At 41.4% G+C, this 13,616-nt stretch overlaps 1 long non-coding RNA gene across 3 annotated transcripts in view; it reads right to left on the bottom strand.

Annotated features, from left to right (window-relative positions):
- PPM1K-DT (PPM1K divergent transcript) overlaps positions 1-13,616 on the bottom strand; it is a 56,728-nt gene that overhangs the window by 3,522 nt on the left and 39,590 nt on the right. For 2 of the 3 annotated variants that reach the window (NR_134236.1, NR_134237.1), the window contains one exon: positions 6,715-7,955. The exons of the other annotated variant lie outside the window; for it this stretch is intronic. This is a non-coding gene — a long non-coding RNA (PPM1K divergent transcript). Of the gene's footprint in view, positions 1-6,714; positions 7,956-13,616 lie in introns of those variants that run through there. 3 annotated transcript variants of the gene reach the window in all.

Raw genomic sequence — 13,616 nt, 5'->3', positions numbered from 1 at the left:
ACAGGTGAAGTCCATATGTCTCTCTGGTGCATCCCAGGGAGAAGTACTGGACAGGCCTACCTATGACAGGCCTTCTCTATGAGAAAAGACAGAAGAGAGGCCAGATGGAATAGTCACTAGAGAAAAAAATGAGTTCTATTCTCTAGTAGGGAAAAAGCAAGACACACTGTAGCTTGGTCAAGAAATAGTTATGGAATGAATGAATGAATATCAAGATTGTTCATTTATAATCTGATTGTTTGGACCATAGAGTGTGAATTAAGAAGAAAATTCCTTATTCTATATTTTTGAAGAGGAACTTGAATTGTGGAGAAATTGTATGGAAAAATATTCATAATCTGATTAAAGGGTTTATAAGGATGTGACTGGTGTGATCCATTTATTCATTCAATAAATAAGTTTTATTGAGCATCTACATTGTGCCTGCACTCATGATATGCCCAATCACAAATCAAGATAAGTCTTGTTTTTAATTTGGATAACTTTGCCCTCTAATCCCAGTTGTATGATATTTGTGTTCGCTATGTGGTTAGCAGTTTAAGAAGACAATTTAAATGGTCTTTGGAACTTATCTCACTGGATGAGAAGTTGAGTTAGGATCAGTAAAATATCACTAACTGTACCTAGGCAGTGTGATGTAGTATATACCCAAGTGTGAGCTGTGACATCAGACTACCTGAGTATCAAAATCTGTTTCTACCACTCACCGGCCATGTAATATTAAGCAGTTTCTTCATCTCTTTAAATGTCCATGTTTTAACTGTAAAACAGGGATAATAGTAGCATTGACTTAAGAGGATTCTTTTTTCTAAGTAAGAATATTATACAAAGAATGCCTTGCATGGTGCCTAACAATAGCAAGCACCAATGACTAATAAATGTCAGCTATTGTTATTATTTTACCCTTGTGTAGCACCATAAAGAAGGAGACAATTGAAATGGAGCAAACTAGGACGTGATGGTGAACAGCTGTGGGCCCAACTACTTGGGAGGCTGAGGCAGGAGGATCCTTTGAGCCCAGGAGTTCAAGGTTGCAATGAACTATGATTGTGCTACCACACTCCAGCTTGGGTGGTAGAGCAAGAACCCATCTCAAAAAAAAAAAAAAAAAGAAAGAAAGAAAGGAGCAAACTGGAACTGGGCCTGAGAAGACAATCAAAGTACCAAGATTACAGCTTGTTGACATCTCCTGCTCAAGACAGAACTTCAATGACTAAACTTTCACAGAAGATTCTTCAAAGAGGGTATTACAGTTTTGTATGCATAGATTTGGCCTTATCAAGGGGCATGATTTTGGAACCACATGACTACTAGCAAGTGGTCTTCTTAGGGGTGACCCACACTTAGAAAAGGGATAACCATCAACATCAGGAGAACTTAATAGGGGGGTCATTGTGAGGCAGAGCTTCTTTGAGAAACTCCCTTCCTTCCTACCTTCCTTCCTTCCTTCCTTCTTTTTCTCTCTCTTTCTTTCTTTCTCCTTTTTTTTCTTTGAGACACAGTCTCACTCTGTCACTCAGGTTTGAGTACAGTGGTGCAATCACAGCTCACTGCAACCTCTGCCTCCCAGGCTCAAACAATCCTCCCATCTCAACCTCCCACAGACCTAGGACCACAGATGTGCAGTGCCACACCTGGCTAATTTTTTTGTTTGTTTTATTTTTTGTAGAGACAGGGTCTTGCCATGTTGTCCAGGTTGATCTTGAACCCCTGGGCTCAAGTGATTGTCCCACCTCAGCCTCCCAAAGTGCAGGGATTACAGGTATGAGCCACCATGCACAACCCTTTCTTTCTTAGTCACACAAGTATTGCCGTCTGGCAGAGGGAAGAGGCAGCTGCAAACCATGTGCTAGAGAGCCCCATTGTACATTTCTCATGTACAATGAGATTAATTTCATTCATTCAACTAATGTTTATTGAGTACTTATTTTACTCTGTGTCAGGCAAGATGCTATGAACTGAGAATATGATATTAAAGCGGAAAAAATTATTCTACCCTTCCTGCCCTGCCCTCGTGGACTTCAGTTCCAGTGGAGAGAAAGACATCAATCACATGATCACCTAAATAAATGTAAAAATATAATTGTGATAAGTGCTATTAAGGAAAAGTATGTGATGTTATGAAATAGTGTAATAGAGAAACTTTAGTCGAAGAGATTATAGAAGACTTCCTGGAGGAAGAAATGCTAGGAAATGATGAAAGGAAGCAGTGCTCAGAGTGAACAGCATGATGTGCAAAGGTCCTACAGTGGAAGGAAGTATGACACCTGCTAGAGTTTGTATTTTTTTTTTTTTTTTGGAAGAGTCTCGCTCTGTCTCCCCAGGCTGGAGTGCAGTGGCTCAATCTCAGTTCACTGCAATCTCCGCCTCCCGGGTTCAAGCAATTCTCATGCCTCAGCCTCCTGAGTAGCTGGGATTACAGGTGTGTGCCACCATGCCCAGCTAATTTTTGTATTTTTAGTAGAGACAGGGTTTCCCCATGCTGGCTAGGCTGGTCTCGAACTCCTGATCTCAAGTGATCCGCCCACCTCGGCCTCCTAAAGTGCAGGGATTACAGGCATGAGCCACGGCATCTCGCCTAGTTTGGACGTTTGACCCCTCTGAATCTCATGTTGAAATTTGATCCCCAATGTTGGAGGTGGACAGAGTGAGAAGTGTTTGGGTCATGGGGGCGGATCCCTCATGAATAGCTTAGTGCTGTCCTCACAGTAATGAGTGAGTTCTTACTCTATGAGTTTCTGAGAGAGCTGGTTGTTAAAAAGAGCCAGGCACCTCCCCTACTCTCTCTCCCCATGTGATCTCTACACTGGCTCCCCTTCTCCTGCGCCATGAGTGGAAGGAGGCTGCGGCCCTCACCAGAAGCAGATGCTGGCAGCATGCTTCTTGCACAGCCTGCAGAACTGTGAGCCAAATAAACGTCTTTGCCTTGTAAATTACCCAGTCCCAGGCATTTATTTATAGCAATGTAAACAGAGTAAGACAACACTTTTGAGAGAAAATGTCACAGTGACCGAAGACAGCTAAGATGTCCTAATAAGTGCTAATATTTATTGAGCAAACATTTATTGAGCTAATATTTATTGTACCTACTAAGTTAATTCTAAGCACTTTACATTGATCCTCATGACAATTCTAATTGGAAATACTATTGTTACCCCTGTTTTACAGATGAAGAAACTGAGGCATAGAGGAGTTAAGTAACTTAGGCAAGGTTATCCAGTTAGTAAGATGTAGAACTGAAATTAGGATTAGTTGGAAGAAGTAGGAAAGGACCAAAACGTGCAGTGGTTCACAGACCAGGTTAAAAGATTTTTATGATAAGAGAAATAAGAAGTCACTGAAGTGTGCATTTTATTTCAAAACGGTTACTCCATTTACATTTCAAAAAGGTCACTCCAGCTGTAGCATGGAGAACTAGTTGAAAGGTTGGGAAGAGTGGATGCAGGTGACTGCTGTTGTCTGGGCAAGAGCTGACAGAAGCAGGGCTAGAGAATTGGCCCTGGGCTGGACATGGTGGCTCACACCTGTAATCCCAACACTTTGGGAGGCCTAGGCGGGCGGATCACTTGAGGTCAGGAGTTCAAGACCAGCCTGGTCAATATAGTAAAACCCCACCTCTACTAAAAATACAAAAATTACCTGGGCATGGTGGCACACACCTGTAGTTCCAGCTACTTGGGAGGCTGAGGCATGAGAATCGCTTGAACCTGGAAAGTGGAGGTTGAAGTGAGCTGAGATCACGCCACTGCACACTCCAGCCTGAGTGAGAGAGTAAGACTCTATCTCCAAAAAAAAAAAAAAAGAGTTGGCCTTGGAGAAGGGCAGAGTGGTTGTGTCTGAGATAAAGTGGATGAGGAGGGATGAGGGCATGAGGGAGAGGATGAGGGCATGATAGGGAGGAGGTCCTGAGGATGATCACTGGGCTTCTTGCTGGTGTCACTGTGTGAACAGTGGTGAAGTGGTGTCATTTTCTCATTCAGAGAACACAGGAAGGAAGAGGAGCACACCTAGGTGTAAGGAGGAACATCATGAATTGGAGATATTTTGAGACATCTCCACTGGAGATGTCAGAAACCAATTGCCTTTGTGGGGCTGGGGCTCAGATAGGTCTGTACCAGAGATTTAAACTGGGGAGTCATCTATGATGAGTAGTGCAGTAATTAGAGACAGGGAAGCTGATGAGATTGCTTAAGGAAAGTGAGGAGTGAGGAGAAGATTGCCCAATATCTGGGAGGAAGCCCAAGCTTTCCTTGGCCTTGATTCAGTCTTTCACCTCTTTTTTCTGTCTTACTGATCCACACCCCCTCTTCTGTAAAATCCAAGTGGAAGTCACAAGAAGAAACATGAAGAAAATAATATAATGGATTGAGACTGGGCATGGTGGCTCATGCTTGTAATCCCAGCACTTTGGGAGGCCAAAGTGGGCAGATCGCCTGAGGTCAGGAGTTCAAGACCAGCCTGGCCAACATGGTGAAATCCCATCTCTACTAAAAATACAAAAATTAGCCAGGTATGGTGGCACACGCCTATAATCCCAGCTACTCAGAAGGCTGAGGAAGGAGAATGGCTTGAACCTGGGAGGTGGGGTTGCAGTGAGCTGAGATCGTGCCATTGCACTCCAGCCTGGGTGACAAGAGTGAAACTATGTCTCAATAAATAAATAAATAAATATAAAAATAATATAATGGATTGAGTTAACCCTTGGGACACCTTCACTTCTTTCTTTTCTTTTTTTTCACTTTAAAAAAATTTTTATTGACAAAAATTATACATATTTATGGTATACAATTTTTTTTCTACAGGTTTTTGGGGAACAGGTTGTGTTTGATTACATGGATAAGTTCTTCAGTGGTGGTTTCTGAGATTTTGGTGCACCCATCACCTGAGCAGTGTACACTGTACCCAGTGTGTAGTCTTTTATCCCTCACCCGCCTCCCACCCTTTCCCTCCGAGTCCCCAAAGTCCATTGTATTATTCTCATGCCTTTGCATCCTCATAGCTTAGCTCTCCATCTTTTTCTTTTCATCAAGTTTGAAGGATTCCTTGTAAAAGGAAATCGTTATCTTCGAAGTACTATTATGCTGGCTGGGCATGGTGGCTCACACCTGTGATCCCAGCAGTTTGGGAGGCCAAGGCAGGTGGATCACTTGAGCACAGGCCAGCCTTGGCAACAGGGCACACTCCTGTCTTGAGAAAGAAAGAGAGAAAGAAAGAAAGAGAGAAGGAAGGAATGAAGGAAAGAAAGAAAGAAAGAAAGAAAGAAAGAAAGAAAGAAAGAAAGAAAGAAAAAAAGAAAGAAAGAAATGAAAGAAAGAAAGAAAAGGAAGGAGGTAGGGAGGGAGGGAAGGAAGGAAGGAAGAAAGGAAGGAAGGAGGGAAGGAAGGAAGGAAAGAAAAAGAGAAAGAAAGAAAGAAAGGAGGGAGGGAGGGAAGGAAGGAAGGAGGGAAATTCTATTATGCCTTAATCTTGTGAGCATCTTCTTAATTCTACTCAAAAAACATTCTTCCTGTAAAATGACAAATGTAAACCAAAAATAAAATTCTGAGCCACCCCCCCCCAACCCCCGCAACCATCTGTATGACTTCCTCCTTAGCCAGGGAACTTTAAAATTTAACCTGAAAGACTGGTTCAGGCCATGACGCGAAGTGGGATCAGACATGCCTCATTACACCTCTCCAGTATTAACATCAATACAGACCTTAAGTCTGAAAAGAAACGTTTGGAGGGAGGGGGTAGAATCAAGGGAACAAAAAAGAAGAGAAACATTGACTATTTATTCTCTACCTGGAAGCTTCATCTGCATGATAAAACTTTGGTCTTCATAACTTCTTATCGCAAGGCAGACATTTCTATCCATTGATAACTCTTCCACCCAATTGCCAATTAGAAAAACTTTAAATCTACCTATAACCTGGAAGGCCCCCACCCCCCTTCAAGTTGTCTTGCCTTTCTGGATTGGACCAATGTATATCCTAAATGTATTTGAAGTCTCATGTCTCCCTAAAATGTATAAAACCAAGCTGCACCCTGACACCTTGGGCACGTGTTCTCAGGACCTCCTGAGAGCTGTGTCACAGGTCATGGTCACTCATATTTGGCTCAGAATTAATCTCTTCAAATATTTTACAGACTTTGATTCTTTTCATCGACACAACTTAGATTAAGCACACTCAGAAAATAACCTTCCAGACAGTGCTCCCAAACGCTTAGAAGAAACACTTCAGTTTCTAAAGGAGGTTGTCTTATAGACACGGAATAACTTGAGCACTCAGAGAGGTTGACTCCTTATTGTTTTTAAAGTCATGATTACCAGAGTTATTTCATCATAGCCTGCTAGGCATTGAACAAGGAAAGACAACTACCAAGGACAAATATACATCTAGTTTTTATAACATCTTTTCATGCTATTACTTAAATAGCTCTGGCATGGGCACTTATCTAACACGAGAGTTTTTACAAAGAAAAATCTGAACTTTAAAGAAAAAAAGAAAAACAAAAACGAACACACAAAAAACCTCTTTTGGTCCATAAGCCATTGAGGATGAACTCTACTCTCTATCTCTAAGTTTATTAGTGAAGTTTTTTCCCATTCTGACGGGGAATTGTGAAGGGAGTGAGCAATGCTGAAATGGAAACTAAAGAGGTGAGCAGAGTGAGCCATGTCATTATTTTCTGGACCAGTGATATCAACAAAGCACATAGTGACAACTTCAATATTGTGACAGTCTGAGTTATATTTATTGAGTGTATCCAGAGTGAGTTGAACAGTTCTTAGCAGGAAACAAAAAAGATGGCACATTCGAATTAGGACAGTCCCAGTACTTTGATGAAAGGGACTACATACAAACATGGGAAGGGTGCAGGAAAACCAAATGGAATAGCACAGCATTCCCCACCTGCTATTACCTCTAGGCATGAAGGGACAAGTTGAGAAAATGGTTAACAAAACCCAGAAAGAGAAACTCAAGAAAGTTTGTGGAGAGGGCTACCTTGAGGAGAGCTCTGATCTTTGATGGAAGGACATGGCCAGCTGTGAGTGACCCAGCCTGGAGGCAATTAAGCAAGTAAATACCCTCACTTCACTCCATCCTCTTTGCTGGGGGGCCCCACCAGCCAATCACTGATGTGGTTCATACAGGTCAGCCTCTTGGGTCAGAGAGCAGGATAGAGAAGGGAGGGGAGGAATGAAAGAGACAAACTGGAAGACAACAAACAGAAAGAGGAAGAGAGCAAGTCAATGACTAAAATCAGTGGATAGAAGGTGCTAGAGTGCGGGTGGGATGGTGGCATTGGTTTCATGTAGGAAAGCCTGAGAGGTTGGCTCCAGGAGTTACAGTTTTATGTGTCCATAATCAATATGGCAATACCAATGCCAAAACTAGTGGATGCGATCAAATTAAAGCTGTATGACTATCTCCTGGAAATTTTATAGAAATTAGACAGAAACAAGTTACTTCCAAGGTCCCTTGCAGACTTGTGTACTTTCATCCTATACTTGTTGAATGTCAAGTAAAAGTAATATCTTGGCAAAGGTACTAAAGAAAGACATGGGTTTTCTTTGTTTTTGGTAAAGTAGATTTTCAAAAACTCATAACCAAACTGAAAAATCTCTATACTTAAAAATATTCATCACAGCAAAGAGAAAAATGCTGGAAGAAACTTCACTTCTAATAGTAGGGGAATACTTAAGGAAATGATCATATGTTCATTCGAAGCATTATTTTGCAGGATTAAACAATTACGAATACAAGGAATTGTGAAACAGTATGGAAAATGCATATGATATAATGTTAGGTAAAAAAAAGCAGGAATTGAAGTTTTATATATACTATGCTTACAATTAAAAATATATATATGGGTTGGTCTGAGTGCAGTTGGTGTTTACAACTACTTAATCACAACCAGTTATGGATTTCTTTATTCCATCTTCACTCCCACTGCTCCACTTGACTAGCCTTAAAAAAAATGAAGAAAAGAATGAAGTTACTAGAAATTAAAATAGTTTATTAAGGTGGTGAAAAAACAGAAGATTATTTCCTCTCTTAATTTTTCAAATTTTTAATAATGTAAGGTCACATTTTATTTAAATATTTTAACATGTTAGATACTTAAATATGTTTTATTTATTTTCATTATTTAAATATACTATTTTTATTTTATTTATTTATTTATTTATTTATTTATTTACATATAGAGACAGGGTCTCAGTATGTTACCCAGGCTGGTTTTGAACTCCTGGATTCAAGAGATCCTCCCACCTTGGCCTCCCAAAATGCTGGTATTACAAGCATAAGCCACTGAACCCAGCCTAAATATATTATTGTTATTATTTTGAGATAGGGTCTTGCTCTGTCACCCAGGCTAGCATGCAGTGGCATGAACTCTATAGTGGCTTACTGTAGCCTTGACCTCCTGGGCTCAACTGATCCTCCTGCCTCAGGCTCCCAAGTAGCTGGGACCACAGGCATATGCCACCATGCTTGCCTAATTTTTTTTTTTTTTTTTTTGTAGAGATGGAATCTCACCGTGTTTCCCAGGCTGCTTTCGAACACCTGGGCTCAAGTGATCTTCCCACCTTGGCCTCCTAAAGTGCTGGGACTATAGGCGTGAGCCACTGCACTCAGCCTAAATATATTATTTTTAAATGCGATAAAGATTGTACCTTATGGAAGACTGATAATTTTTCATACCTTTATGTGGATGAAGGTTGTCTGGGTATATACATAGTAAAACACACACACACACACACACACACACACACACACACACATATATATATATATACACACACACATACATAGGTTTTTGTTCATGGTTCCTGGCTCATAACTCCTATGGCTCTTGTTATAATGTTGGGGCACTTTAAACCTCAGAATCAGGCCTCAGAAAACAGAATCTCTCTGACATTTTCCTGCCCTCCTTTCACCTGCTCCTTTTTCTCTCCAAGGCAGGAATCTTCTCTTTTTTTGTCTTGGAGCTGGCCATAAAGAAATTTTCTGACCCACCTTGTCTGATTATAGGTCATAACTTATTTCAGAAGGGGCTCTGCCCCCTACCCTGGAGGAAGGAATGTTGCACAGAGAGGCCAAGAGAAATGTGAGCAGACAGGCCTTGCTGGGTTCCCCCGTTCAGTCTGTTGGTATTAGATCATACTTTTTTTGTCTAATCACATTTCTACATGGTTGTCAATCATGCCTATCTAATGAAATCTCCATCAAAGGCCCAAGAGTACAGGATTCAGAGAGCTTCCAGATAGCTGGACACGTGGAGGTTCCTGGAGGATGTTGCTCTCAGAGAAGGCATGGAAACTTTGCACTCCTTTCTGCATCCTGTACCCTATGCATCTCTTCTCTTCATCTATATCCTTCATAATAAACTGGGAAACGTGTTTCTCGGAGTTCTGTGAGCAGCTCTGGCAAATTAATTGAGCCCAAAGAGGGGGTCATGGGAATGGCAACTGGAAGCCAGTTGGTCAGAAGTTCCCGAGGCCTGAACTTGCAACTGGTGTGTGTATGGGCTGGGGGGGGGGGGGGGTCTTGTGGGACCGAGCCCTCAACCTGTGGGGTCTGATGGCATCTTCAGGTAGATAGTGTCAGAATTGGATTGGAGGACACTCAGCCGCTGTCCCCGGCAGAATTGCTTGCTTGCCTGGTGTGTGGGAAAAAACTCACACTCATTTGGTCACAGAAGTCTTCTGTGTGGATTGTTGTTAACACAGTGAGAGCCCAGAAAAAAACACTGTGAAAAAAAATCCAGTGGAACCAATTCCTAATGGATCAGTCCGCCTTTTTACATCTGAGAACAGTCTGCAGCTCTGCCCAAAAATATAATGTTTGTGTTCAGGGGAGGGGAGTTCCTCTCATTACCATCCTGCTACCTTCTACAGTTAGGACCCTCCAATGTTGAAGCTCGTGATTAGTACCTGGGTTTCTTGTTAAGAAGTAGATATCTGGGCTCAACCCCCAGGGAATCTGATTTAGTAAGTCTGGGTGAGACCCAGGAATATGCATTATTAGAAGCTTCTAAGAAATGTTGATGCAGGTAGTCCTTAGACCATTTTTTTCCAAACACAGTCTTTGGTTCTCATCTAAAGGCCTACATGATTAATTAATCAGTTTCCACCCAAGGACAATAAGCAAAAATTACACAAACTCGCATACACACACAAACATACACACATAATTAAGGAAAGGTTACACTGATAAAGCCCTAAGGCTAATTTAAGCAGAATGCAGGACATACATTGGGCAATCCCATACTTCTGAGCCCTGTTAACCAAATGCAGAGCCACACCTTTTGGCTACACAGTGGCCTTGTTCATCAGCATAGCACTGGAGCAAGGGTGGAACTCTTCATCTGCCAACTGCCTCATTAAACAAGGATCAGAGGTTCAGATAAATTTTTTAAAAATTAAAAGATTCTATGATTCTTCCAGTGCTTGAAAAGATCCTAAATGCCTAATGTTCTTTTTTTTTTTTTTTTTTTTTTTTTTTTTTGAGACGGAGTCTCGCTCTGTCGCCCAGGCCGGACTGCGGACTGCAGTGGCGCAATCTCGGCTCACTGCAAGCTCCGCTTCCCGGGTTCACGCCATTCTCCTGCCTCAGCCTCCCGAGTAGCTGGGACTACAGGCTCCCGCCACCGCGCCCGGCTAATTTTTTGTATTTTTAGTAGAGACGGGGTTTCACCTTGTTAGCCAGGATGGTCTCGATCTCTTGACCTCATGATCCACCCGCCTCGGCCTCCCAAAGTGCTGGGATTACAGGCGTGAGCCACCGCGCCCGGCCGCCTAATGTTCTTAAAGTAGAAGAATATCTTTGTAAGTGCCAGAAATTTGAATTCCTGACTCTCACCATCTAAAAATCTGTTATACAGATTTTCCATCAAATGGTCTATGGGTTCTACCCCTCCGGGAGCACCTCTGAGAGTGGGAAGCTCAGGGAGTTCTGCAGCAGCTCATTTTACCTTTGATGATCTTAACTGTTAAGAGTTCTCTACTGACAGAACTCCAGTCTGAAATTATTGGCTTGGTTTTTGCCCTGGTTCCTATCCACTTCAAATTTTGAAAACAATGATATTCTCTACCCTGGATCTTCCTTTGCCAAGCTCAACTTTCTAGCTCCTTCAATTATTCTTCATTTATCATGTTTTCAACACTTCACACCTGGTTGCCAGCTTTTGAATACTTTAGTTTATCAATATCTAAGTGTGGCTCACAGAATGGAAAATAAGGCTTCAAGATCAGTGAGTAGATACGTGAAGACTGCATTGCAGTTTAATTATTTTGCAAGATTAGGGCTTGGGATAAGAGAAAAAGAAGAAAAAAAAGATCAATGAGTAGAATTCTTGAATGCAGTTACTGATTTTCTGTAGCCTTTGCAGAGAAGGTATGGAAAAAGAGAAGAGTTTTCCCTAATTTGTGTAATTATTATTATCATTTATTATTCATCCATTCATTTATTTGATAATTGTATATCATGTATCCATTCTGTAAATCACTAGGCTGGGTGTCAGAGATTATTTTTAGGAAAAGACAAGAGGAGCTTCACTTGGGACAGCAGGTAAGAAACAATTATAGTTGACCCCTGAATAATGTGGGGGCTAGGGATGCTGACCCCACACACTCAAAAATCTGAATATAACTTTTATTTACCCAAAACTTAACTAATAGCCTACTGTTGACTAGAAACCTTACTGATAACATAAGTTAATTAACATGAATTTTTTATATGTATTATATAGTATATTTTCACAATATAAAATAAGCCAGAGAAAACAAAATGTTCTTATGAAAATCATAAGGAAGAAAAAATATATTTACTATTCATTAACTGGAAATGGATCACCATAAAGTCTTTATACTCAACGTCTTCACATTGAGTAGGCTAAGGAGGAAGAGAAAGAGGAGAAGTTGGTCTTGTTGTCTCTAGGGTGGCAGAAGGAGAAGAAAATCCATGTATAATTGGACCCATGCAGTTCAAACCCATATTGTTCAAGAGCCAACTGTATAATATAGAGTAAAGACGGTTAGAATAAGGGTAAGCATAGGAAACTATAAGAGATCCTTTTCATCTGACATATATGAAAGTGTGGGAGTCAGGGAAGTCTCCTTGGAAGGATGACATCTAGAATATCCTCATCTAGACTAGCTGAGCAAACATTTCACGCACAGAACTGTACAAGGCTATTCTGACACAGAGAGATTTAAATCATACCCATGCACAAGCTCTCTCACATAGAGAAGTCTGAACAGGCCTGAACCATAATTGTGAAATCACATTTAGCATTGGGCATAGAGAGCTAAGGAAAGCCCAAGATCCAAAGTTGTTCACTCACAATATCAAGTGGTAGAGGGTGACATTAAAGATATATGTCAGGACTCCTGTTGTAAGTGAGAGAAAGCCAACTCAAATTAGTTTAAATTTAGAAAAAGATTGATTGGCTCAATACCTGAAAGTTCAAGGAGTGAGCTTTGGGAAAGGTTTGATTCAGGCACTCAAATGATGTTAACAAGACGTTGTCTTTCTCACCCATTCCTAGGCTGTCTTTCTTCTGTGGCAGTTCCATTCCCAGGCAGCTACGTGGTGACTTCAAGCTTATGATTCTAGTGCAGCAAGTCCAACAGAAGGAGGGTGTGTGTGTGTGTGTGTGTGTGTGTGTGTTTAAAGACGGTGTCTTGCTGTGTGGTCCAGGCTGTTTTTGAACTCCTGGCCTCAAGCAACCCTCCTGCCTCAGCCTCCCAAAGCACTGGGATTGCAGGCATGTGCTACCATACCTTACCAACAGAAGTTTATCCTAGTGCCAGGATTGACCACTCTGTCTTAGCTTGGTTTGTGGAAACACCTCTGAACCAATTATTGTGGCCAGGAGAATTTGTTACTCCTCTAAGGCTGGCCTAGATAACACTCTTACTTATGGAGCCAGTGAGTAGATTTAACTCCATCTGAACTACGTAGTAGAATACTGGGAGGGAATAGTTCCCCCAGGAAAATAAGAAAAATAAAGTACTTTTAGTAGAAGTAGGAATAAACATTGGGCCTGAAACAAACAAATAAAACAAAACAAAACAGTTATCCCATACACAGAGATTGAGAGAAAACATACTCATGTTTTTGGAATACAGTCATCTGGGTGGCTCAATTTTATAGAGTCCTAAACACTAGGTGCTACAGAAGATGCAAAGATAAGCAAGAGATAGTCCTTACTCTTAAGGAGCAGTTGTCTACAATTTGGCCCTCAGGTCTGACATCACTCATCTCTCGAATCATGCCATGAGAATTTCTTTTTCTTTTCTTTTTTTTTTTTATTTTTGAGACAGAGTTTCACTCTTGTTACCCAGGCTGGAATGCAGTGGCGAGATCTCGGCTCACTGCAACCTCCGCCTCCGAGGTTCGAGCGATTCTCCCGCCTCAGCCTCCCAAGTAGCTGGGACTACAGGCACGTGCCACCACACCTGGTTAATTTTTGTATTCTTTCAGTAGAGACGGGGTTTCACCATGTTGGCCAGGCTGGTTTCAAACTCCTGACCTCAGAGGATCCGCCTGCCTAACATTTGGTATAGCCACTCCTCAAATACCTTTGCCTGAAGGAGGCAGGATGACTACGTAAAATAACATTTA

Source organism: Homo sapiens, chromosome 4, assembly GCF_000001405.40.
Source record: "Homo sapiens chromosome 4, GRCh38.p14 Primary Assembly".
NCBI lineage: Eukaryota > Metazoa > Chordata > Mammalia > Primates > Hominidae > Homo > Homo sapiens.
This window is presented reverse-complemented; position numbering and strand designations above follow the sequence as displayed.